The sequence below is a fragment of the Homo sapiens genome, chromosome 13 (assembly GCF_000001405.40).
Source record: "Homo sapiens chromosome 13, GRCh38.p14 Primary Assembly".
In the NCBI taxonomy this organism is placed as follows: Eukaryota; Metazoa; Chordata; class Mammalia; order Primates; family Hominidae; genus Homo; species Homo sapiens.
In genome coordinates, this window is record NC_000013.11 from 98,120,942 (window position 1) to 98,147,090 (window position 26,149).

The 26,149-nt window shown below is 46.7% G+C and overlaps 1 protein-coding gene and 1 long non-coding RNA gene across 4 annotated transcripts in view, besides 2 other annotated features; one reads left to right on the plus strand and one right to left on the minus strand.

Annotated features, from left to right (window-relative positions):
* The window catches only part of LOC105370328 (uncharacterized), a 77,599-nt gene extending 54,630 nt beyond the window's left edge, over window positions 1–22,969 (minus strand). The window contains exon 1 of the long non-coding RNA XR_931670.4: window positions 22,898–22,969. This is a non-coding gene — a long non-coding RNA (uncharacterized LOC105370328). The remainder of the gene's footprint in view (window positions 1–22,897) is intronic.
* Window positions 21,604–21,653: a silencer, noted in NCBI's record as "silent region_5455". NCBI's record gives its function as "represses an Ori minimal core promoter by ATAC-STARR-seq in GM12878 lymphoblastoid cells {active_cell/tissue: GM12878}" and the evidence as "EXISTENCE:reporter gene assay evidence [ECO:0000049][PMID:35858748]".
* The window catches only part of FARP1 (FERM, ARH/RhoGEF and pleckstrin domain protein 1), a 312,588-nt gene continuing 308,086 nt past the window's right edge, over window positions 21,648–26,149 (plus strand). For 2 of the 3 annotated variants that reach the window (NM_005766.4, NM_001001715.4), the window contains exon 1: window positions 22,153–22,551. The gene's annotated coding sequence lies outside the window, so the exon portion shown is untranslated. Of the gene's footprint in view, window positions 21,837–22,152; window positions 22,552–26,149 lie in introns of those variants that run through there. The other variant, NM_001286839.2, reaches the window with a different exon arrangement.
* Window positions 21,894–22,203: a silencer, noted in NCBI's record as "silent region_5456". NCBI's record gives its function as "represses an Ori minimal core promoter by ATAC-STARR-seq in GM12878 lymphoblastoid cells {active_cell/tissue: GM12878}" and the evidence as "EXISTENCE:reporter gene assay evidence [ECO:0000049][PMID:35858748]".

Below are 26,149 nucleotides of genomic sequence, written 5' to 3' on the forward strand. Positions count from 1 at the left end.
TATTTCTCGAAGACTTATCTCTTATAAGACTTATATCATTTTTCTGTGTTCCCTGAGTTTAGTTATTAGCACAGCTCAGAGTCTCCATTTCACGGGCCCCTTTTCCATGTCTCAGTGTCTTGCTATCTCTGTGCTTTGCAAACTGGGCCCCAAATATTCTGCTTTTGGAAAAAAAAAAAAAAAAAAGCAATCTAGGTATACAAAAGACAAAGGATTTATTGTCTTCATTTCCCAACAAAGAAGTGACGAGACAGGCGAAGCAACTTGCCCAAATTAGTTACTTAAACTAACCCCCAAAGGCCAGGCAGTGGCTCATGCCTATAATCCTAGCATTTTGGAAGGCTGAGATGGGAGGATTGCTTGAGCCCAGGAATTCAAGACCACCCTGGGCAACATGGCAAACCCCATCTCTATAAAAAAATTAGCCAGGCATGGTGGTGTGTGCCTGTAGTCCCAGCTACCTGGGGGAGTGAGGTGGGAGGATAGCTTGAGCCCAGGAGGTTGAGGCAGCAGTGAGTTGAGATCACGCTACCACATGCCAGCCTTGGTCACAAAGCAAGACGCTGTCTCAAAAAATAAAAATAAATGAAACTAACCCACCCTTTCTTAAGTGTCCTCACTGTCAGACTAGTACTTCTGCAGCATCTTTGTTTTATAACCTAATGTGACTCTCCCATGAAAAAGGTAGAGTAAATTAAAACCACAACCACAGCCACAAACATTATGTGAGAGTTGTTACTGTGGAGTTGAGGAAAGGTTAGGAATTGACATTTTTAGATCATATTCTCTTCTGCTACATGTCAAGACATCTCAGCCTAGTGGGTGGCTGATACTTCAGACTCCTGGCCTGTGAACATTGTGCCCAAGAACCAACAGCCAAGTTGATGCCCATTCAATTATAGGCTGTGACTGCAGTATCCTGAGAAGACAGGGTCTCTTTAGCAGGAGCAAGACTGGACACTGAGGGGTTTAGGATGCCTTAGCCTCTGTTGCAGATGGGAAGGGAAGTTATATAGAGGACAAAAACTAAAGGAAAGTCATCTACTTCTTCCTGACTTAGTGTTAGGAAGGCTGCATTGTGGTCTCCCAAAATTCCTATGCTGAAGTCCTAACCCCCAGCCTCTCAGAATGAAACTGCATTTGGAGACAGGGGCTTTAAAGAAGTAACTAAGTTAAAATGAGATCATTAGGGTGAGCCTTAATCCAATCTGAATGGTGTACTTTCTAAGAAGAGAAAATAAGGACACAGCTACACACAGAGGGAAGACCATTTGAAGACACAAGGAGAAGATGGTATCTTCAAGCCAAGGAGAGAGGCTTCAGAAGAAAGATCCTGACCGCACCCTGACTTCAGACCCCGGCCTCTAGAACTGTGAAAAAATACATTTCTGTTGTTTAAGCCAACCAGACCGTGGTGCTTTGTTAACGGCAGCCCTGGCAAATGAATACATTGAGGTTGTCCTCAAACTTGAGGACACTTAAATGAACATCCAATTGGAAATAAGCAAAACATTGCAATATGAGGTGGACAAAAGTGGCTCTCTGAACAATCTTTTCTTCCTTCCACATGCCATAGATGTTACTTACTGTAGATGACTTAGTAGCACAGAAATCAGTGAAACCACTTCTCATTTTCCTGACCTCCAACCATGGGAGCTCCCAAGGCCAGTCCTTGGGTGTCCAGCTTCACTCCCTCTCTTGGTGAGCTTAACTGGTCCTTGTGTTCAGATGCCATCTACATGCTGTTAACTTCTGTCTTCATCTGCTTGGGCTGCCATAACAAAATACCATAGACTGGGTGGCTTCAACACCATACATGTATTTCTCACAGTTCTGAAGCCTGGAATGTCCATGCTGTGGTTTGGATATGGTTTGTTTGGCCCCATCAAGTTCATGTTGAAACCTGATCCCCAATATTGGAAGTGGGGCCTGGTGGGAGGTGGGGGTGGATTGTGGGGGTGGATCCCTCAGTTATGAATTGGTAGCATTCTCACAGGAGTGTGTTCTCACTCTTAATGCCCGAGAGACCTGGTTGTTGAAAAGAGCCTGGCACTGCCTCCTTCTTTCTTGTTTCTGCTCTCACCATGCGATCTGTACATGGCACTCCCCTTCACCTTCCACTGTGAGTGGAAGCAGCCTGAGGCCTCACCAGAAACAGATGCTGCATGCTTCCTGTAAAGCCTGCAGAACCATGAGCCAAATAAACGTCTTTTCTTTATAAATTACCCATGCTCAGGTATTCCTTTCTAGCAACACAAATGGACTAACACAGTCCATGATCAAGGTGCCAGCAGATTGGGCTTCTGGTGCAGCCCTTCTTCCTGGCTTGCAGGTGGCCTCCTTCTCACTGTGCACTCCCATGGCCTTTTCTTGGTGTGTGCACGTGGAGAGAAAAGGAGCTCTCTCTCTTCCTCCACTTACAAGGGCACTAATCCCACTACAAAGGCCCCACCCTCATGACCTCATCTAATCCTAATTACCTCTTAAAGGCCCTCATCTCCAAATACTATTGCACTGGGGATTAGGGCTTGAACATATATAAATTTGAGTAGGGGGGCAAGACACATAAACATTCAGCTCCTAACAAGATCCAAATTTTTAACTCCAGTCTGGACCTGTCCCCTGAGACTGTGTCCAGTTGCCTCCTGTCATCTCGTCTTTGATATTTGATATGGTTTGGCTGTGCCCCCACCCAAATCTCATTTTGAATTGTAGTTCCCATAATCCCCACATGTTGTGGGAGGGATGAGAGGTAATTTAATCATGGGTGCAGTTACCCTCAGGCTGTTCTTGTGATAGTGAGTTAGTTCTCATGAGATCTGATGGTTTTATAAGGGGCTTTTCCCCCTTTTGCTTCACACTTCTCCTTTCCTGCCATCATGTGAAGAAGGACATGTTTGTTTCCCCTCCTGCCATGATTGAAAGTTTCCCGAGGCCTCCCTCATCATGCAGAACTGTGAGTCAATTAAACCTCTTTCCTTTATAAATTATCCAGTCTTGATAAGTCTTCATTAGCAGCGTAAGAACGGACTAACATACTGAATTGACAACCCAGACTCAACCCATGCTCAACCCTGAACAGATCTGTTCCCACAAACCCGCTCCTTTCCCTAGTCATCTCCAGCTCAATACATGGCAACTTCACTTGCCCAATTGCTAAAAAACTTGGAGTCATCCTTGACCCCTCCATATCTCTTTCATGTCGCACATCTAATTTGTCACTGGATCCCCCTGGCTCTGCCTTTGCAAGATACACAGGCTTTGACTGTTTCCCGTCACCTCCACCATTTCCAGCTTGGGCCATGCCACCATGCTGGACACCTGCTTCTGCCCTTGTGGTCAGTTCTCAGCACAGTGGCCAGAAAGATCCTCTGGCCTTAAATCTGATCTGACCTGCTTAAAACTCCCTAATCACTTCCAACTCACTCTAAGTCAAAGCCAAAGTCCTACAATTCCCTACTATCCTGCCACCTTCTCCACTGTGTCCTCAATGACCATGAGTCCAGCCTGGCTCGCTTCACCCCAGCCACAGTGGCCACCAGCTGTTCCTCAACCACACTGGGCATGCACCCACCCAGTGACTCTTGGTGCCTCCTCTCTGCCTGGACCACTTTTCCACAAATATCCATATGGATACTTCTTGTATCTATTCTAAATATGGATATTGATCATATTTCTCCTTCACTTTATTCTGATCTTTTCTGGAATTTCCCCTTCTCATAAAGCCTTCCTGGCCACCCTACCCAAAGTCACAGCACCTAAATACTCACTTCCTACCACCTGAATTACTGTTTATTCTCCTTAGGAGTTTTTCCTTTCTTTCTTTGAGACAGGATCTCACTCTGTTGCCCAGGGTGTAGCGCAGTGGTGTGATTACAGCTCACTGCAGCCTCGACTTCCTGGGCTCAGATGATCCTCCTGCCTTGGCCTCCTGAGTAGCTGGGATCACAGGCATGCACCACAATGCCCAGAATTTTTTTTTTTTTTAGAGAAGGGATCTCACTATGTTGCCCAGTCTGGTCTCAAACTCCTGGTCTCAAGCAATTCTCCCACCTTGGCCTCCCAAAGTGCTGGGATCACAGGTGTGAGCCACCAAAGACAACCCAGGATTCTTTATCATCTTACTTGCTAAAGGTTTTGCTTATGTATTATGTATATTCTTTCCTTCCCAACACCAAGATATAAGCATCATGTGGTGAAGAATTTGTGTCTGTTTTATTTACCGCTCTGTTCCAGCTGATTGAAACAATACCTGGCACATAATACATGCTCAGTAAGTACTCGAGGAATGGCAGAATTATTGTTTTCTGTCCCTGGTTCTCCTCTGGGAAGGGAAAGTTGAGGAGCTAATGCGGGTGGTAGGCACAATAATGGCCTCCTCCCAAAATGTTACCTTACATGCTAAAAGAAACTTTGCAGATGGGATTCATTTAAGGGTCTTGTGATAGGGAGAATGTCCAAGTGGACCCAATACAGCCACAAGAGTCCTTAGGAAAGGGAGGCATGGACTGTAATCCCAGCACTTTGGGAGGCCGAGGCGGGTGGATCATGAGGTCAGGAGATCGAGACCATCCTGGCTAACACAGTGAAACCCCATCTCTACTAAAAATACAAAAAATTAGCTGGGCGAGGTGGCAGGTGCCTGTAGTCCCAGCTACTCGGAAGGCTGCGGTAGGAGAATGGCGTGAACCCGGGAGGTGGAGCTTGCAGTGAGATCACGCCACTGCACTCCAGCCTGGGCGACAGAGCGAGACTCCGTCTCAAAAAAAAAAAAAAAAAAAAAAAAGGGAAGCAGGGAGACAAGGTGAGAGGAGTGATGTCAGGAGCGGGTGGAGGTGGGAGTGATGAGGGGCCATGAGCTAAGCAGTGCTGGAGTTCCCTAGGGGTTGCTGGAGGCAGGAGATGCTCCTGAGAAAAGTGCTCTTGCTGACCCGTGGTTTCAGGACCTCCAGCCTCCAGAACTATCAGATAACAAAGTTGTATTGTTTTAAACCTCTAAGCCTGTGGTGATTCGTCACAGCAGCCATGGGAAACCAACCAAGCAGACTTAACTAATTCCCGGGCCAGGCCTACCTCAGCTGAGGGCTTCTCCGGTCCAAACACCACCTCTCTCGCTGTTCTCTGAGGGGATTCAATGGATTCTGAGGAGAACTGAAGTTGTTTTTTATTCAGAGGCTCAGATAATCAAGCAAAGCTACTCCAGGGATGGGGACTCAGACAGGGACATGGAGGTAGAAATGGGCACCAGGCATCTGGGCTGGTCACGCTGCTTCCTCACAAGAGTCCAGTCTCCCTGTGGGCCCCACGTGCACATCTCCCAGGGATTTCCCATGAACCATTTCTCCTTCCTAAAGCTTTCCTCTTCCCCTCAATTCCTTGAGTCCTCTCCTTTGGGTCCTCCCTTCTCTCATACACCTATTCCCTTACCCAGTTTGCTTTTTTTTTTTTTTTGGTCTGAGACAGAGTCTCACTCTGTTGCCCAGGCTGGAGTACAGTGGTGTGATCTTGGCTCACTGCAGCCTAGACCTCCTGGGTTCAAGTGATCCTCCCACCTCAGCTTCCCAAGTAGCTGAGACTACAGGCACATGCCACCACCCCTGGCTAATTTTTTTTTTTTTTTTTTTGTATTTTTTTTTTGTAGTGACAGGGTTTTGCCATGTTGCCTAGGCTGGTGTTGAACTCCTGGGCTCAAGCAATCCTCCCGCCTTGGCCTGCCAAATTGCTGGGATTACAGGCATAAGCCACCTTACCTAGCTTGTACCCAGCTTTTTTTTTTTTTTTTTTTTAAACCTCAGTTCCTGCTAACCTTCTCACTGGAAATACAATCATGCCCCACATAAGAACGTTTCGGTCAAGGATAGACCACATATATGACAGTGGTACCATAAGATTATACTATAGCTGAAAAATTCCTATGGCCTAGTGATGTCCTAGCTGTGGTAATGTTGTACAGTAATGCATTCCTCATGAGCTTGTGGTGATGCTGGCTTAGACAAACCTGCTGTACTGCCAGTCCTATAAAAGTCTAGCAAAGGCTGGGTGTGGTGGCTCACGCCTGTAATCCCAGCACTTTGGGAGGCCGAGGCGGGCGGATCACGAGGTTAGGAGATTGAGACCTTCCTTGCTAACACAGTGAAACCCTGTCTCTACTAAAAATACCAAAAATTAGCCGGGCGTGGTTGTGGGCGCCTGTAGTCCCAGCTACTTGGGAGGCTGAGGCAGGAGAATGGCGTGAACCCAGGAGGTGGAGCTTGCAGTGAGCCGAGATCGTGCCACTGCACTCCAGCCTGGGCAACAGAGCGAGACTCCGTCTCAAAAAACAAAAAAAAGTCTAGGACAGACAATTATGTACAGTGCATCATCCCTGATAATGATAATAAATGATTGTGTAACTGGTTTATGTATTTACTATAATATTTGTTCCTTTAACTTATAAAAGAAAAACGTTAATTCTTAAATAGCCTCAAGGAGATCCTTTAGGAGGTGTCGAGAAGAAGGCGTTATTACTATAGGAGATGACAGCTCCATGCATGTTAGTGCCCCAAAAACCTTCCAGTGGGACAAGATGTGGGGGTGGAAGACAGTGATATTGATGATCCTGACCCTGTGCAGGTCTGGGCTAATGTGTGTATGTTTGTGTCTTAGTTTTTAGGAAAAAAGTTTTAAAAAATTCAAAAAGACAAATTCTAAAAATAGAAAAAAGCTTATAGAGTAAGGATATAAACAAAGAAAAATATTTTTGCACAGCTGTATAATATGTTTAAGTAAGTGTTATTACAAAAGAGTCTTAAAGTTTAAAAAGATTTAAGCATTTATAAAGTAAAAAAGTTACAGGAAACTAAGGTTAATTTATTATTGAAGAAATAAAAAATTTTTTTTCGAGACAGAGTCTCGCTCTGTCGTCCAGGCTGGAGTGCAATGGTGCGATCATGGCTCACTGCAACCTCCGGGTTCAAGAGATTCTCCTCCCTCCGCCTCCCAAGTAGCTGGGATTACAGGCACATGCCACCATGCCTAGCTAATTTTTGTATTTTTAGTAGAGACGAGGTTTCACCATGTTGGCCAGGCTGGTCTCGAACTCCCGACCTTGTGATCCACCCGCCTCAGCTGCCCAAAGTGCTGGGATTACAGGTGTGAGCCACTACGCCCGGCCAGAATAATATTTTTAATAAATGTATATTATGATTAGGCTTTGTATCCCCACTCAAATCTCATCTTGAATTATAACCCCCAGATGTTGAGGGAGAGTCCTGGTGAGAGGTGATTGGATTATGGGAGCAGTTTCCACCAGGCTGTTCTCATGATAGTGAGGGAGCTCCTATGAGATCTGATGGTTTTATAAATGGCAGTTTACCCTGGGGTTCTCTCTCTCATCTGCTGCCATGTAAGCTGTGCCTGCTTCCCCTTCCACCATGATTGTAAGTTTCCTGAGGCCTGCCCAGCCATGAGGAACTGGGAGTCAATGAAACCTCTTTCCTTTATAAATTACCCAGTCTCAGGTATTTCTTTTTAGCAGTGTGAAAATGGGCTAATACAATGTAGTAGCCTAAGTGTACAGTGTTTATGTAGTCTACAGTTGATATGCTTTGTCTCTGTGTCCCCACCCAAATCTCATCTTGTAGCTCCCATAATTCCTATGTGTTGTGGGAGGGACCCAGTGGGAGATAATTGAATCTTGGGGGTGGATTTCCCCATACTGTTCTCTTGGTAGTGAATAAGTCTCATGAGATCTGATGGTTTGATAAGGGGAAACCCGTTTCTTTTGGCTTTCATTTCTCTCTCTTGCCTGCTGCCATCCATGTGAGACATGACTTGCTCCTCCTTGCCTTCTGCCATGATTGTGAGGCTTCCCCAGCTGTGTGGAACTGTAAGTCCAATTAAACCTCTTCCTTTTGGCCGGGCGCAGTGGCTCTTGCCTGTAATCCCAGCACTTTGGGAGGACGAGGCGGGCAGATCATGACGTCAGGAGTTCGAGACCAGCCTGACCAACATGGTGAAACCCTGTCCTAAATACCAAAATTAGCTGGGCATGGTGGCGCACGCCTATAATCCCAGCTACTCAGGAGGCTGAGGCAGTAGAATTGCTTGAACCCAAGAGGCGGAGGTTGCGGTGAGCCGAGATCGTGCCATTGCACTCCAGCCTGGGCGACAGAGGGAGACTCTGTCTCAAAAAAAATAAATAAATAAAACCTCTTCCTTTTGTAAACTGCCCAGTCTTGGGTATGTCTTTATTAGCAGCATAAAAATGGAGTCGCATATAGCTATGTTCTAGACCTTCAACTCATTCACCACTCACTCACTGAGTGAGTCACCCAGAGCAGCTTCCAGTCCTGCAAGCTCCATTCATGGTAAGTGCCCTCTGCAGGTACACCATGTTTTAATCTTTTATACCATACTTTTACTGTACTTTTTCTATGCTTAGATATGTCTAGATATACATATACTTACTATTTGTTATGATTACCTACAGTTTTCAGTACAGTAACATGCTGTTCCAGTTGATGGCCTAGGAGCAACAGGCTGTACCATATAGCCTAGGTACATAGAAGGCTACACCATCTAGGTGGGTGTAAGTACATTCTGTGATGTTCACACAATGATGAAATCGCCTACTGATGCATTTCTCAGAATGTATCCCCGTCATTAAGCAAATCATGACTGTCATTAAATTCCAGAACTCTGAGTCTTTTCTTGTGTCCTGCACATTTTGCAGCCTCAGACATCATTCAGTGGCTTTTCTCTTTGGCCAATTACAGAGACCCCAAAGTAGAAGGAGTGGGTTTTGATATAGTATGTTTAACCCTTCCATGTTAGGAGAAAGGTGAGCTTGCTCCTGAGGATGAGGGCTGGGGAAGAAGCTGGGATGCCAGGTGTGACTGTACCAAGCTTTAGGTCCCAGTCGAAATCTCCCTCCCTTCTCCCAAGCAGGAATCATTTCCTTTGCAGTTCCTTCCCAACCCACCCTCACCCCTACCCTGGTCTGATCTACTAGGGAGATTCATATTCTCTGTATTAACATAACTTTGATTCTAGTTTTGCTAAAAATACTCTGGATTTATTTTGCTAAGACAGCATTTGCCCCTCCTCCTCCCAATGCTCTCTCCACAGTTACATTATAAAACTTGTTGGGTTAATTGACAATAAATTGTGTCATTTACAAGTCAACCTTTTGTAATTCCTTATCATTTAGGACAATAGAGAAGACTCAGTTTACCCATCATGAAAGCACTAAAAAAGAGAAGCTGCATAAAATGCACAAATATTTGAGCAAAGAGTGTTGAAAAGAACAATTGTGGAGTAAAACCTTGTGGGACCATCTTTTCCACTGCCTGCTGAGCCCTCCACCTGTTTCTTACCTCTTCAGGTCCTGGCTTAGTGTGCCTTCCCCCTAGAAGTGAATAAGGCTTCTTTTGTCATATCCACATGGGTGGGCTTGGTGCACTTGTGATGTGGTGCCTCCTGTTAATTCACCTGTCATCCCGGCTGCACCGTCAACGCTCATGGACGGGGGCCTCCTAACACAGACCTTGATGTCTTTTCAACATGAAATGGATGATGGGTATTTTTTTTGAGATATTCAGGTTTTCAAAAGCCAAAACCCTAAGTATGTTCAGTGTTCTGTGGGAATAGAGGAGCCAGAAGTCGTGCCTCTGAAGGAAAAGAGAAAAGAGAAGGGATTCCCTTCAAGCTAAAACGGAAGGAGGGGTCTGTGGTCTTGCAGACAGCAGGGACCCCCCCTCATCTGCGGTTCCCAGCCTTGCTGGCAGTTCGCTTGCCCTAAGCAGGGCCTGGAAGTTGCGGCGCAGGTGCACGGACCTGACATGCAGCTGGGACTGTGGTCCTCAGAGGGTCTCCTGACACCCTGATGCTACCTGAGTTGCTGGAACTCTACTGTCCAGCAAGACGTCCAGCGAAGGGGGTGCAGTAAGCCCCGCAATGGCTGGGGCTGAGTTTTTTCCTGCCTGGTGGAAAGAAGTTTGGAATATAAATTAATTTAAGTGATATTCTTTGCATGCCTGAATTTGGAAATGTAGTTATTTAAATGGGAAACAAATATAGAGTGCTTTCACCATGGGAAAAACATCAAAGTTCTTAATTCTACCACGAAAAAAAAAATCAAAGTCACAAGTTAATTACAGTGTGAATCTGTTTTGATGACTAATTTGTGAGAACTGAAGAAAAATGTAGAAGTAATCAGCATCAAATTACATTAAGATGGTCAATGAGATCATCCGGGGAGATAGGTGGTAGAAAGTTATTTCCATGACTAGATCATAAATACTGGAATGGGAAGATTATTGAGAAAATGAAAGGTCTTTCTTCAGAAATGCTTTAAAACACAAAAGATTGATACCTCTGTCCAGCAAGGCGCCTCAGGAATCGACTAGATGCCATTGGAAAGTCCTTATTAGGGCTTCTAATTTACACAGAAAGAAACCAAACTCAATAAGAGAACAGGCACACACAAAGAAGCTCTCAAGTCAGAAAAGGCTTTGGAAGAATCATAAAGAGGGGATCATGGTTTGTTTTTTTTTTCTTCAGGTGGTGGAAAAAATGCCAAAAGTACTAAGATTACATATATAGGAGCATAGATTCAAAGAATATGTTAGAAAATTATCAGTTTGGGGCCAGGCGCGGTGGCTCATGCCTGTAATTCCAGGACTTTGGGAGGCTGAGGCGGGCGGATTACCTGAGGTCGGGAGTTTGAGACCAGCCTGACTAACATGGAGAAACCCCATCTCTACTAAAAATACAAAATTAGCCGGGCATGGTGGCACATGCCTGTAATCCCAGCTACTCGGGAGGCTGAGGCAGGAGAATTGCTTGAACCTGGGAGGCGGAGGATGCGGTGAGCTGAGATCGTGCCATTGCACTTCAGCCTGGGCAACAAGAGCGAAATTCCATCTCAAAAAAAAAAAAAAAAGAAGAAGAAAAAAGAAAATTAGCAGTTTGGAGAAGCTTAATGCAAGGAAAATGCAAAAAGTATGAAATGACAGTTTAATTACTACCAATGATGGCGCAATTGCACATCAATATCCATAAAAAAGAAGTACATAGGAATGTTGGTAGAAAGACTTCTATTATAATGTAATTTTGAAATGTATATCCTGGTGCTTTCATTCTTTCATCTATTAGACATGTTTTACATATCATAGGCATTCAATTAGTATTAGCAGAATGACTAAGATATGGTGTATCACCTCTTGGGGCGAGTGAACAGCCTGAGTCCCTTTTGTCAAGGATGAAGAAGGGCTTTCACCTCTTGGTCTGTCCACCTGTTCACCCACCTCCTTATTCTTCCTCAGAAAAATTGCTAACTTGCGGGGCGTGCTTATATCATCTATGCAGCTAGTGGGCCAAAACAGAACATTGGGCCACAGCTGAATATTGTGGAGCACAGTTCACCTGTGGGCTACAAATGAACATTGATAGAAGAGGAACTACAAAAGGGTCTTAAACATGGGAAAACGCACAAGTTCACAAATGGGAGAGAAAAGCAAACTCCAGTATACTAAGACATCTTTTTTTTTTGAGACGGAGTCTTGCTCTGTCACCCAGGCTGGAGTGCAGTGGCGTGATCTTGGCTCACTGCAGCCTCTGCCTCCCGGGTTAAAGTGATTCTCCTGCCTCAGCCTCCCAAGTAGCTGTGATTACAGGTGTGCACTGCCATGCCTGGCTAAGTTTTGTTTTTTTAGTAGAGACGAGAGACTAGGTTTCACCATGTTGGCCAGGACGGTTTTTTTTTTTTTTTTTTTTTTTGAGACGGAGTTTTGCTCTGTCGCCAAAGCTGGAGTGCAGTGGTGTGATCTCAGCTCACTGCATCTTCCACCTCCCGGGTTTAAGCAATTTTCTGCCTCAGCCTCCTGAGTAGCTGGGACTACAGGCACCCACCACCACGCCTGGCTAATTTTTTTGTACTTTTAGTAGAGCCGGGGTTTCACCATCTTAGCCAGGCTGATCTTACCACACCCCGCCTAGGAAGGTCTTGATCTCCTGACCTCAAGATCCGCCTGCCTCTGCCTCCCAAAGTGCTGGGATTACAGGTGTGAACCACAGAGCCCAGCTGAGACATCATTTTTTAACCTATCAGACTGGCAAACAACTTAGAAGTGTGACAGCCTACTCTGGTGAGGTGGTTGGGGGTGGGATACCGGGAGCGAAGAAGAATCTCATGTTGCTGGTATAAGTATCAATCGCAATCACCCCATGGAGGACAATTTTGTGATGTTTATCAAATTACAAATGTACAACATTTTGACCCTGGGATTCTGCTTGTAGGAATTTATCCTGCAGTTATATTAGTATCTGTGCAAAATGACATGAACAGGGTTATCCATGGAAGCATTTGGATATAATATCAACTAGGAAACAATTTAAATGCCCATCAATAAGTAATTCTTAAAGTAAATTATGGTGTGCCTATATAATGGAATACTATGTAGATGTAAAAAAAAGAGAGAGAAATTGATATGAAATTATTTAAGCATCGATATGAAATTATTTCCGACATTTTCCTGGGAAAAAAATAGCATGAAATTCTATATTTGCTGTTAAAAAAACAACATATATCTGGGTTGGCTTGAATTCTCTAGAGAGATAAAGAAGAAGCTAAAAGATAAACATGTCTTTTTCTGGAAAGATAAAGAAGCAGCTGTAAAGATAAAGAGGTGACCTGTTTGGAGGTAGGGCAGATAGCAGCAACAGGTGAACAGGGTAAGAGGAAAGCTTTTCATGAACTATCTTTTAATAGAGTTTGATTGGAATTCTATCTTTAGAATTAGAGGATGAGGATGACGTTAAGGCGCCATGTTTGCGCTCTCCATCTGTGCTCACTCACTCTTGCCTGAGTTTCGTGCAGCTTGGGGTCATGCGGAGAAGGGTGAATCCCCGCACCATTTGGATTTAGGTTCTGAGCTAAGCCTCTGCTCCAGCCTGGCCCTCCCAGAGCTAGGGTGATTGTCCTGGGCCAATAATTCTCAATCTGGCCGTATGCTAGAATCTCCTAGCGAGCTTTAAAAGATCCTAATGCCCAGGCTGCACCCCAGACCAGCGACATCAAGATCTCTGGAAGGGGAGGAGCACCTAGGCATCAGTGCATTATCAAAGGTCCCCAGGCCATTCCAGTATGCACTCAAGTTTGAGAACCAGTGGCTTGTTTAAAGAATAACTTCCTCATTTCACATGCACTGTCATGCTCTGTCTCTTTCTTTCTGCCTCTGGGACTTCCCAGGGATCTAAAGTGACGAGCAGGGCAGTGTTTAAGCATTTAAACTTTAGTAGCCTTAGTAGCCTCTGACTTTAGTAGCCTTAAATACCATGTGAGTCTATCCTGAGCTATCTGTAACTAGCAATTGTTAAAAAAAAAAAAAAAAAGAAGACACTTGAAAGAATATTAGAGTCCTCCAGTTAGAACCAGTTTGATGAATCAAAGATTAATACCATGAATTGAATTTAGAAATTCCTTAAGAAATTAGTGTTAATATATACAGAATATATTCGAATTTATGATGATGATCTTTTTCTTCATTTACAGCAAGAAATTTGTAGTTGATACAGCAATTAATCAGGTGATAATAGGGCTGAAGGTAATATTTTTTCTGACATTTTATTTTTAACACCTGTATTGAGATATAATTTACATACCATAAAATTTACCCACCACACAATTTACCCATTTTAAGTGTACAATCCAGCTTGGCATGGTGGCTCACACTAATACCAGCACTTTGGGAGGCCGAGGCTGGTGGATCACTTGAGGTCAGGAGTTCAAGACCAGCCTGGCCAACATGGTGAGCCCCATCTCTACTAAAAATACAAAAATTAGCCGCACATGGTGGTGTGCACCTGTGATCCCAGCTACTCGGGAGGCTGAGGCACAAGAGTCACTTGAACCTGGGAGGTGGAGGTTGCAGTGAGCCAAGATCACGCCACTGCACTCCAGCCTGGGTTACCAAACAAGACTCCATCTCAAAAAAAAAAAAAGGTGTAAAATTCAGTGGCTTTTAGTATATTTAGAGTTTCACAATCAACTCCACAATTTTAGAACATTTTCATCACTCAAAAAAGAATCCTTGTACCCACTAGCATTCACTTCCCATTCTCCTCCAACTCCCCAGCCTCTGGCAATCTCTAATCTACTCTGTCTCTACAGATTTGCTGACTCTTGATCTTTTCTAGAAATAGAATTATATACTATAAGGTCTTCTGTGTCTGGCTTCTTTCACTTATGATGTTTTCAGGGTTTATCCATGTTGTAGCATGCGTCAGTACTTTCTTTTTATTGCCAAATAATATTCCATTGAATAGATACACCATATTTTGTTTGTCCATTCATTATTTAATGGACTTCCAGGTTGTTTCTGCTTTCTGGCTACTTTGAATAATGCTCATATGAATTTGTGGACATGTTTTCATTTCTCTTGAATATATACCTAGGAGTAGAATTCATCATTTTATTATAAAACGTTCAAACATACAACAAAGTTGAATTTTACAGTGAATGTCCCTCTAGTCACCACTACAATTCTATTAAAATTTTAATCTACTTCTTTTGTCACATATCTGTCAATCAGCCTTTTTATTTTATTTTTGAGATCGAGTCTTGCTCTGTTGCCCAGGCTGGAGTGCAGTGGCGTGATCTCGGCTCACTGCAACCTCCACCTCCCAGGTTCAAGTGATTCTCCTGCCTCAGCCTTCCGAGTAGCTAGGATTACAGGCGCCTGCCACCACGCCCGGCTAATTTTTTGTATTTTTAGTAGAGATGGGGTTTCACCATGTTGGCCAGGCTGGTCTCAAACTTCTGACCTCAGGTGATCCACCCACCTTGGCTTCCCAAAGTGCTGGGATTTCAGGTGTAAGCCACTGAGCCCAGCCAAATTTTAGCTTTCTTATTGGGTGTGTGGTACTCAATGCATTTCTGGACAACAAAAATACTTCAGGTAGTCATCAACAATGACATACCTTCCCTTTATGTATCATTTCTTTCTCTGAGATGAGAATCAAAGGGCAAGATCGTAGGCCAGACTGAAAATGATTTCAGTCTATGACCTTCTTTTGCTTCCCTTCTGAAGTTCTCCTTTTGAAAGTGAAGTGAAAAATAAATGACCTGAAGTCTTCACTTTTTATCCTATCCTATTTTCTATCCTAAAAAAGTGCATTTTGAATGCTTTCTCCAGTTGTCCTAGATTTTTGAATATGGAGGCACAACACAGGATCATGGCTAAGAGGGTGGCCTCTGAAGCTTGACTGAGTCTGAATCTCTTTCTTGGCTGTGTACTGTGTGTGACCTTGAGTAAATTACTTAGCCTCTCTGTGTCTCAGTTTCTCCTTTGTAAAATGGAAATAATAATACAAGTCCAAAAAGTTGAAGTTGAAGGTCAAAATGTCAGCACTCTTTTTTTTTTTTTGAGACAGAGTCTGGCTCTGTCATCCAGGCTGCAATGTAGTGGCGTGATCTCGGCTCACTGCAACCTCTGCCTCCCGGGTTCAAGCAATTGAGCCACCATGCCTGGCCCAAAATGTCAGCAATTCTAATCAAAATTGTAATATGATTATTTTCAGAGCTTAACAAAATGATACCAAAATTCATGTGGAAAAACAAACATGTAAGACTAGCTGGGAAAACTTTTGAAATTAACAATAATTATGGGGTCCAAGCAGTATCAGATAGTAAAATACATTATGAAGCCATAAACACAAACATTTTGGTAACTGGCACAGGGATAGGCAGATAAGTAGAAAAGAATATTCATAGAAAAGCGGATCCTAAGGTAGGACAAAGTTGGCATTTTAAACAGGTATGGAAGATGAAAGTAAGATGGGTTTTCAAATCGTATCTGCTCAGCCATTTGGAAAAAAGATGTTGGAGGCATGTGTCATTTCTTATGCCAAAATAAGATATAGATCAATGATAAAATATAAAAATAAAACCATTAAAGTATAGAAACATGATGATTTTTTAAAACATCTTGCATAGAGAAGACATTTCCAAGCATGACACAAAAATGTGAAAGCATAAAAGTAAACACTGACAAATCTGACAACATAAAAATTAAGAACTTGTTGTGAAAAAGAGTACCATATTAAAAAACGTAAAAAATATTCATTACATGATAGCAAAGGGCTAATTTCCTTAACATATAAAACATATTAAGAGTTAACAAAAAAAGATAACTCAATGGCAAAATGAGCAAAGCACATGAAGGGCAGTTAATGGATAAATGCCAATGAATAATTTTTAAAATAATGAGATTTTGTTTTTGCCTGTAAGACTGACAAATATGCCTGGGAGCGGTAGCTCACGCCTGTAATCCCAGCACTTTGGGAGGCCGAGGTGGGCAGATCACGAGGTCAGGAGATTGAGACCATCCTGGCCAACATGATGAAACCCTGTTTCTACTAAAAATAAAAAAATTGGCTGGGTGTGGTGGTGCATGCGTGTAATCCCATCTATTTGGGAGGCTGAGGCAGGAGAATCGCTTGAACCGAGGAGGCAGATATTGCAGTGAGCCTACATCGCACCACTGCACTCCAGCCTGGGTGACAGAGTGAGACTCCATCTCAAAAAAAAAAAAAAAAAAAAAAAAGACTGACAAATATTAAGTTTGCCAATATCCAAAGTGGGCTAAAGAATGATCATTCTCAAGCATGGTTAGTGGGTTCATTTATTGTTCCATAGTAAGTCATGCAAAGCTTAATGGCATGAAATTACCAGTTTATGGGATTGGGAATTTGGAAAGAACACAGGGTTCTTCTCTGTCCATGGTGTCCTTAGGTGGTATGACCCAAAAGTCTGGGGTGGTTGGGATGGCTGGGAACAGGGACAGTGGGAGCTGGAGAACTCATTCTGAGGTGGCTTCTTCACTCACGTTCTGACACGAGGGATGGGATGATTGAAAGACCAGCTCATCTGGGACTGTCAACTGGAACATCTCCAAATGAGCCTCTTGAGTATGACAGTCTCAGGATTGTTGGGACTTCTTACATGGCCACTCAGATCTCCAAGAACAAGTGTATGCAAAGAACAAGTTAAAAGCAGCATGGCTTATTCTGACCTAGCTATGAAAGTCACATCACGTCCACTGTATTCTATTGACCGTAACAGTTATGAGCCTGTCTAGATTCAAAGGGCATAGACATAGATCTGAACTCTCAGTGGGAGGAGTGTACGATAATTTGTGGCCATGTTTTAAAATCTCTACAGTGGAAGAATAAATTTTTGCAGTGTCTTTGAAGTACAATTTTGCAATATCTACCAAATTTTAATATGCAACTATCTTTTGAACCAAAGGCATCCCACACAGATAGTCCCCGGAATCCTATCCTCTACCTCCCCCACTCTCTCCTTAAGCTGTTCTCCATCTGGCTTCTGTCACCACCAGTGCTGCCCCTTCCCCTCCAAGGTCTTGATTCTTTGCAGAAGAATAAGGTCTTACCTCCAGATCCCAACTAATACCTCATAAGTTCTCCAACCTCAGATGTCTACTTCATGTCAGTTGCTTTCTCTGTAGCTCAGTTTCTGCTGGTTCCATTAAGGGCTGCTGAAACTGAGCTCAAAATCCCAAGATTTCCCACCAGCTACACAAGGAGATTCATATTCTTCCTGTTGACACGACTTTGAAACTGCTCATCCTAATATTCTTCCTCCTACCACATTATGCTGTGTTATCTATTGCTGCAAAACAGGTTATTCCAAAATGTGGCTTAGAAGAACACTTATCATCTCATACTTCCTATGGGTTAAGACTCTAGAAATTGCTTAGTTGGGTCCTCTGGCTTTGGGTTCCTCATGACACTGACATCACTTCAAGTCTCAGCTGGAAAGGACTTGTGTATCACATGGTTGTTGGCAGAATTCAGTGCCTCCAGGGCTGTTGGAGTAAGGCTTCCCTCTGTTCCTTGCCACTGTGGGTCCTCCATAGGACATCTTACAACATGGCAGCTGGCTTCATCAAAGTGAGCAAATGAGAGGGCAAGACCGTATCAGTAAGAAGTTATGGGCCTGGCGCGGTGGCTCACGCCTGTAATCCCAGCACTTTGGGAGGCTGAGGCGGGTGGATCACGAGGTCAGGAGTTCAAGACCAGCCTGGCCAAGATGGTGAAACCCCGTCTCTACTAAAAATACAAAAATTAGCCGGGTGTGGTGGCACGCGCCTGTAATCCCAGCTACTCAGGAGGCTGAGGCAGAGAATTGCTTAAATCCAGGAGGCAGAGGTTGCAGTGAGCCGAGATTGCACCACTGCACTCCAGCCTGGACGACAGAGTGAGACTCCGTCTAAAAAAAAAAAAAGTTACAGTGCTCTGTGACCTAATCACAGAAGTGACACTGCCTTCCTTTTCTGTATTCTATCCATTAGCAGCGAGTCACTAGGTCACACTCAAGGCAGGGGGATTACACAGAATGAGCCCACCACAAATGCTACAAGCAGATCTCTTTCCGCCTTGGGTTTTAATACAGGCTGCCTCAGTTACTGTCAGTGCATACTGTCACGTCCAGAGAGCATCATCACCCTAAACCCAGGTTCTCCGAAAGGTGATGTGTTGAAGGGGAGGGAACTATGGAATAAAAAGTTGTGTTTCACTGTGACGTGTGATCTCTTAATATGAAAGATTTGCTTGCCCCCACACACTTTTGTATATGAGCAGAAAATTCCTGAAAGACTGTAAAAACTGTTGGGAAAATTATTTCTAAGAAGCGAGATTAGGGATGCAGGAAGGGTTCCTTCTAGGTTTCACTTCATACTCTTCTATACTGCTTAATTTTATCTTGACATGTACACACGTTTTACAGTAAAACAGTTAAAATTAATAAGAGGAATTGTTAAGCACAGGGTGATTCCTTAATCCAGAAAGATTTCTAAATAACCCATGCCACAGCTTGGGATAAAAGGGGGATCTAGGGGGATTATACATTTTTATATTCTGAAAGTTAAGCATAAATGACACACAATGACAAGGAAACGCCTAAGTTTTTCAGAAGTTGATTTTCCAGGTTCAGGATTTTCGAGGCCAGGTACCCCTGGCTTTTCAGGGAGAGGAATTTAAAAAGTGCTTTCTGGCCAGGCACGATGGCCTTATGCCTGTAATCCCAGAACTTTGGAAGGCCAAGGCAGGGGGATCACTTGAGCCTAGGAGTTCGAGGCTGCAGTGAGCTATGTTTGTGCCACTGCACTCCAGCCTGGGCAACAGAGCGAGACTCCTTTTTTTTTCTTTCTTGAGACGGAGTCTCGCTCTGTCGCCCGGGTTGGAATGCAGTGGTGTGGTCTCGGCTCACTGCACGCTCTGCCTCCCGGGTTCACGCCATTCTCCTGCCTCAGCCTCCCAAGTAGATAGGACTACAGGCGCCGGCCACCATGCCTGGCTAATTTTTTGTATTTTTAGTAGAGACGGGGTTTCACCGTGTTAGCCAGGATGGTCTTGATCTCCTGACCTCGTGATCTGCCTGCCTTGGCCTCCCAAAGTGCTGGGATTACAGGCTTGAGCCACAGCGCCCAGCCAAGACCCTCTCTTAAAAGAAACAGTACTTTCTATCAGGTTAGGTACCAACCGCGGAATGTTGGTGAGAGCTGGGAGGAAACGTAGGAAGTTCTCTAGTGTGACCCCACCGCTTTACAGCCTCTCTAACTAGATTCCCAGAACTGCCCCTTCTCCCCTCTCTTTTCCCCCATTAACTCTCTCCCCATGGGCTCCTGCCCTCAGCCTGCAAACCTCAGAACGGCTCCTTTAAAAGTCACCTTCACAAATGTTGATAATGTTGAGATAAGGCAACATGGGATATTATGTATTATCATATTGATTAATATGATCAATATATTATGTGTTATGATCATAAATAGTTTTAAGATCACAACTAAATCTAATTCTAGACATACAAAGACTATGAAAGAAATGCTGTAACATGTAGAAAATGTCGGTCTTGCAAAGAGAGTGACTGGGAAAATGTCACTTTTCTAATTTTCTGCGCTTTCTATGATTTTTTGCTTTTATTATTTTTATGATTTTTTTTTTGAGATGGAGTCTCACTTTGTTGCCCAGGCTGGAGTGCAATGGCACGATCTCGGCTCACTGCAACCTCTGCCTCCCGGGTTCAAGCAATTCTCATGCCTCAGCCTCCCGAGTAGCTGGGATTGCAGGCGCGCACCACCACGCCCAGCTAATTTTTGTATTTTCAGTAGAGACGAGGTTTCCCCATGCTGGCCAGGCTGGTTTACAAGTTCCTGACCTCAGGTGATCCACCTGCCTCAGCCTCCCAAAGTATTGGGATTACAGGAGTGAGCCACCGCGCCCGGCCTAATTTTTTCCTTTTAGTTGGGAGGTATGACATAGCACTTTGCTACTACGTGTAGTCCTTGGACCAGCAAGTAACACCTGAGAGCTTGTTAGAAACAGTCTCAGACTTACTGAATCAGAATCTGCATTCCAACAAGATTCCCTGGTGATTCAGGTATACACTAGAGTTTAAAAAGCCGCCTACAGCAACTGTTCTCAAACCTGGCTACACACTGGAATCACCTGCGGAACTTTACTGATGCCTGGGTTAGAATCTTTATATATTTGGCTGGGGTGCAACCAGGGTGTTGTTTTTTAATCGCAGATGATTCCATGAGTTTGAGACCCACTGTCCTAACACTGTGATCCTCCAAGTGTGATCCCAGGACCAGAGCAACATCACTATCTGGGAATTTGTTAGAAATGCAAACTCTCAGGCCCCACCCCAAACCTACTGAATCGGCAGCTCTGGGGATGGAGCCTGACAGTCCTTTATCCCTGCAGGCGATTCAGATGCTTGCTAAGGTTTCATTAGGTAGGTCGGGGATGCGGCCCAAGAATGTTCATTTCTTGACGTTTCCAGGGGCTGCTGGTGGTGGTCGTGGTCTGAGAACCACACTTAGAGAATCACGAGCAGAAAAAAATCTGATCTGTGACACACAGCTGGTTGGGCTGACAGAGCAAAGCCTCAAACCCACCATTTCTTCTCTTCAACCACAGACCACCAAATCTGCAAGTATTACATCTCTGCTCCTCCCCAGGAGCTGCCCACAAGCACCCCCTACTTCCAAGACCCCTGTTCTTGTCTCAACCCGCCCTTCTATCAGGGTCCCTACACTCCACTTCTGCCCAGCTCCTGTCCAGCTGTGAGTTCACTTGAGGCCTCTCCCGTGAAATCTGCCCTCTCGGTCTGAGGTCAGGGAACTCCTGTAAGACGCAAAAGGCCCACGGTTCTGAGCCAGTGGCCTCCGAAGGCCGGAATCCGCTAGCCCCGGGTCTGGCAGAACGTCACTTGCTGCGCCCTAGGCCTCTTCCCGCCACGCTTAGAGAGAGGGACTGGAGGCTCAGAAGGGGGAAGAGAAGGTAACGCGGCAGCTGCTGGGTGGGGACGGTGACTGTGCCCCTAGATCGCTGCCTCCTGGGTCCTGAATCTTGCTCCCCGCTCCGTAGAGTTCCCGAAACCCCGAAGGCTCTCAAGCACCGCAAGCCACTCCTAACCTCCCCCACGCCATTCCCCAAGGGCACTGTCCCCCGAGGCTGGGCGGGCGGGAACTGTCATGGGATTCGCTCGGGCGGAGGGCGCTGGGCCAGGACGTGGGCGGGCGCGGGGTGGCCGCCGCTCCCCCAAGCTTAAGTCCCGCGCAGCCCGGGGTGGTGCCGGAAGCCCGTGCCTGTGGCTCCGGGGGAGGGGAGGGCTCGGTGGGTCCCTGAAGACTGTCCTCCCCGCGCGACGTCGCAGGCGAAGCAGCCCCAGGCAGGACCTCAAAAAGCGACCTGCAGAGTCCGAGCCCCTGACCGCCCGCCTGCCGCTCCCGGCTTCGCCGTGCACACGTCTCCCGCTCTCCCCGGTTCGTTTTTCGCCACAGCTGCTGGATTCGCGTCTCGCCAGTGGCGCTCCCCGCGCTGCATTAGGTAGCGCCGCGCGGAGCCCGGCCCTGGCCGGAAGCCCAAGAGAGGCGCAGATCCCCGGCGGCGCGCTGGGCTCGGGAGGCCCCTGGGCGCACCTGCCCGGGCGGAGCGGAGCGGGGCGGGGCGGGCGCAGGGCGCGGGCCCGGACGCTGGAGGGGGCTGTGGCTCTCCCGCGTCCCCGCTGCTCGGGCTGCGCGGCGCCCGCCTCCCCCCGCCGAGGGGCCGGCCCAGACCCGGGGAGGGGCGGTGGCCACTGCACTTCCCGCTCGCCGGCCTCAGAGGCGGCGGGTCCGGCGCGGGCGCAGCGGTGCGGGCGCTCGGCTGGGGCGCGGGGCGGGGACGCGGCCGCTGCCCGCTTTGCGCCGCTCCTCCCTGCGCGAGTAGCGCTGGCCCCGGCGTCGAGGCGGCCATGGCGACCCGGAGCCCGCTCCCCACCCACCCCGCCTGCTCCGCCCTCCCCTCCGCCCCGCGCCACCTTTGATGGCTCGGACCTCAGCCGGCCACCGCCAGCCCTGCTCGCGCGCCCGCGCCGCCGCCGCCCGCGGGTATTAATAGCCGGCGCCGCCGCGCCCTCGGCCGCCGGGGGCTTGGGAGCCGCCGATCCCGGAGCCCGAGCCGGGAGAGGGAGCCGCCGCAGCCGCCGGCGCTGTGGAGGTAGGAGGCGCGCGGTGAACAATGACCGCGGCGGGAGGGCGGGGGCCGGCGGGGTCCGGGCCGCGGGCGGCAACTTGTGCGAGTCCAGGCTCCCGCAGCGCACGGCCGCGGCTGCGGGCGAAGGTGGGCGCGTGGTCCCCGAGGTCCTGCCCTGCGCAGTCGGGCGGCGGGTCGGGCCCGGGCAGCCCCGGCCACCATCGCAGGAGCTCGGGGGCCTCGGGGCTCCGGGCTGCCCCCTGCGCCCCTCTCCCCTCACCTCCGCCGACGTCGGGCTGCGGGGCTCCGCGCCGGTCCCCGCTCGCCTCCCCCGACCCCGGCGCCCTTCCCCCGTTTCCTTCCGTCCTACCCGCCCGCTGACAGCGCTGGACGCCGCTTCCGGACCTCGGGCCGCAATCTCGGCCCCTGAGGCCGGTTGCGGGCCGGGGAGGTGGCCGCTGGCGCGGATGCCGCCGGGTGCCCGCCGCTCGCCCACGCGCGGCGCGAGGGTTCCCGGCGGGTGACAAAGAGGAACACACCCTCTGCCCAAGTTAGATTTGTGTCTCTCTTTACTGTCTGCCTTTATGCAGGGCAAAGTTTTTTTTATTTTTTATTTTTTAAAGCAAAGGACAGATTGCTTTGCGGCGAGTATTTCCAAACAACTTCTGATTGTGGTTTTACGATTCAAGTTCCGGAAACTTTAGCTGTGTGATCCGGCTGGACCCCGGAGACTCTGTGTGTGTGTGTGTGTGTGTGTGTTTTATTTGAGGGGGGGAAATACGAATTCCCTGTAATGAGTCTGGATCTCGTTTGTGGCAGCTGGAGGCCAGCGGCTGTTGGGGATCGAGTAGGGTTCCCCAGAAAGGAGGGAGCTGAGGCTCACAAAGAAGCGAGGCCCTGGTATCTGATCAGTTCGTGGAGACGTGGGAGAGCCTGCTTGTCATCTGGAACAGTTTAGCAGCCTCGGCCTCCCTGTCTCTCCCAGCCCTGGGGAGTACCGGTGGCCTCTGGCCGTTTCATTATATTGTTGTTAAGGCTCTTCTCCTTGTCAGTTTACCAGGTTTGACCGCCCAGCCCTGGTCTCTGCGTGGAAACCCCCGGGGGCCCCTCTCCTTCCAGTAGGCAACATCTTCAGAGCCAAACCCTGGCCTAGCACTGGCTTCTGTTTAATGTGCTTTGCACGTGGTGACTTGCGGAGCCCATTTCAGAACATCCTCCAGCATTGTCTTGCTTTTCTTATTCAGTCTGAACAAGGAGAGGAGAAAGAAACATCTTTCTGGTCCTGAAAGCTTTAGGGAGAGTTGCCTTAAAAATTGGCTTCGTTGTTCCGGAGACTTTAGGAGGGCCCTGCTTCATCCTATCTTTGGCTTTCTCCCTCCTTCCACAGTGTTCTCGTAGGGGGTTTATTCTCAGTCTTTCGGATGGGTTGGTCTCCAGGATGTGACAGTTTCTGACAGTGTGCTTCATAAGTGGGTACAGCTAGCACATGGCTCACTTTATATTCCTGCAGCATCGTTCTGCAGCAAGGCATCAATATTGGAGTTACTCCAAGCACAACGAAGCGTTTGTGTTTTTAGAATGTCTGGCTAATAGATCTGCTTCTGGGTAAAATAAATAGAAGCATTATTGGGCAATGGCTGCTTTACTGAGGGAATTGTTGGTGGAGACAGTGAGTAGATGCCTTCCTAGCCCAGCGCCTCCCAGAATCTCTTACTTGTTTCTTTTATGTGAATGGGAAACTGGAAACCCTCGGTGTGGAGGTGGCTGTGCCTCCTAGGGGCAGATTCTATGGTGCACCACCCCGCCCCCGTTACTTGGGGTGTGGTGTTTCATTGAGAAGTTCTGTCACTGTGGGAATCCTTTTGAAGCGTGGTTTCTAATGCCCCCTTTCACATTGATATTCTCTTCCTTTAATTGATACAGGGATGGATTTATTCCTTGCTTCATAATAGAATGTTAACTTTACTCTGTAGCCAGACTTATCAAAGAAGATCTTAAAATAATTATCCTGGACAAGTTTCTTACTGGGTTATTGCATTCACCTCAGAATTATCCAGAGTTTACAAGGAACCTGGAGGAACGTTTTTGTTTCACTTTTCGTTAAAGAAACTGTCCAAGGGGGCTGGGCATGGTGGCTCACACCTGTAATCCCAGCACTTTGGGAGACCGAGGCGGATCACTTGAGATCAGGATTTCCCAGCCTGGCTAATATGGTGAAACCCTGTCTCTACTAAAAATACAAAAATTAGCCAGGGGTGGTAGCAGGTGCCTGTAATCCCAGCTGCTCAGAGGCTAAGCCAGGAGAATCGCCTGAACCCAGGAGGCGGAGGTTGTAGTGAGTTGAGATTGGGCCACTGCACTCCAGCCTGGGCAACAGAGTGAGACTCTGTCTCAAAAAAAAAAAAAAAAAAGAGAAAAAAGGAACTGCCCAAGGAAATTGTTTTGTTTTGTTTTTTGGTTAAAGATACAAATAAGATAGCATTGAAAGGGTTAGTTTTTTTTAAACAGTGAAGCTTATACTCATTTAATTTATTGAACACCTAAGAGCTTAATTCATTTGGAAAATTGTATATATTTATGAGGAGGATGCTTGTGATAAACATCAGAAAAAAACAACTCTTTTCATCCTGGACGGGATTAGAGAATACTAGAGAAAGGATAAAAGGCTGGTTTCTGCAGGCAGAATATGCTTAGGAAAAATGGCATTGTGATTTTCCCAGAGGATAAGAGAAATTCTGTGGATTTGTAAGTACTGTACTTGCCTGATTTTTTTTTTTGAGATGGAGTTTTGCTCTTGTTTCCCAGGCTGGAGTGCAATGGCGCAATCTCGGCTCACTGAAACCTCTGCCTCCCAGGTTCAAGCGATTCTCCTGCCTCAGCCTCCCCAGTAGCTGGGATTACAGGCATTTGCCGCCATGCCCAACTAATTTTCTGTTTTTAGTAGAGACGGGGTTTCTCCATGTTGGTCAGGCTGGTCTTGAACTCCTGACCTCAGGTGATTTGCCCGCTTCGGCCTCTCAAAGTGCTGGGATTACAGGCGTGAGTCACAGAGCCTGGCCTTGCCTGATGTTTTGATAGCATGGTGGACTGGACATTTTAAAGAAGCCCTTTGTAACTGGCCTTGCTTATTGCAGATAACTGCTTAGTGTTTTTGAGAAATGCACTTTCCTCACCAGCTGAAGGTGCTACAGATAAGAGGGGCAGGTATAGTCCTGTAATGCAGGTGCTAAAGTCTTTCTACTTTGGAAGGACAGGCATTCCCTGTATTGGTTACCGTTTGCCTGGGAAGGGAGGCTGTGGGGTTTTAGGCTCTCGTGGCAGTCTCTCTCCTGTTGTTTGGTGCTTTTGATTGAAAGGAGCCTCTCCAAGCCTGGCTATTGAATGGGAAGCAGCGGATCAACTTCTTTTCTTGTCTTTTAGTGTCAGAGTTTATTCTGTGGTGGTACTGGGTCACAGTCCTTTCTCTCTGTTTCACCCATGGCAACTTAGGTAGGCTGTTACCTCCTTAACCACTTCCACATGGCCAGGAAGATCAGAGCCAAACGGTTTTCATTCAAATTACTTGAAATACTGATTTCTCCAGTCCTGTTCTGCCAAATGCAGCCTTTGTTTTCAATCAAGA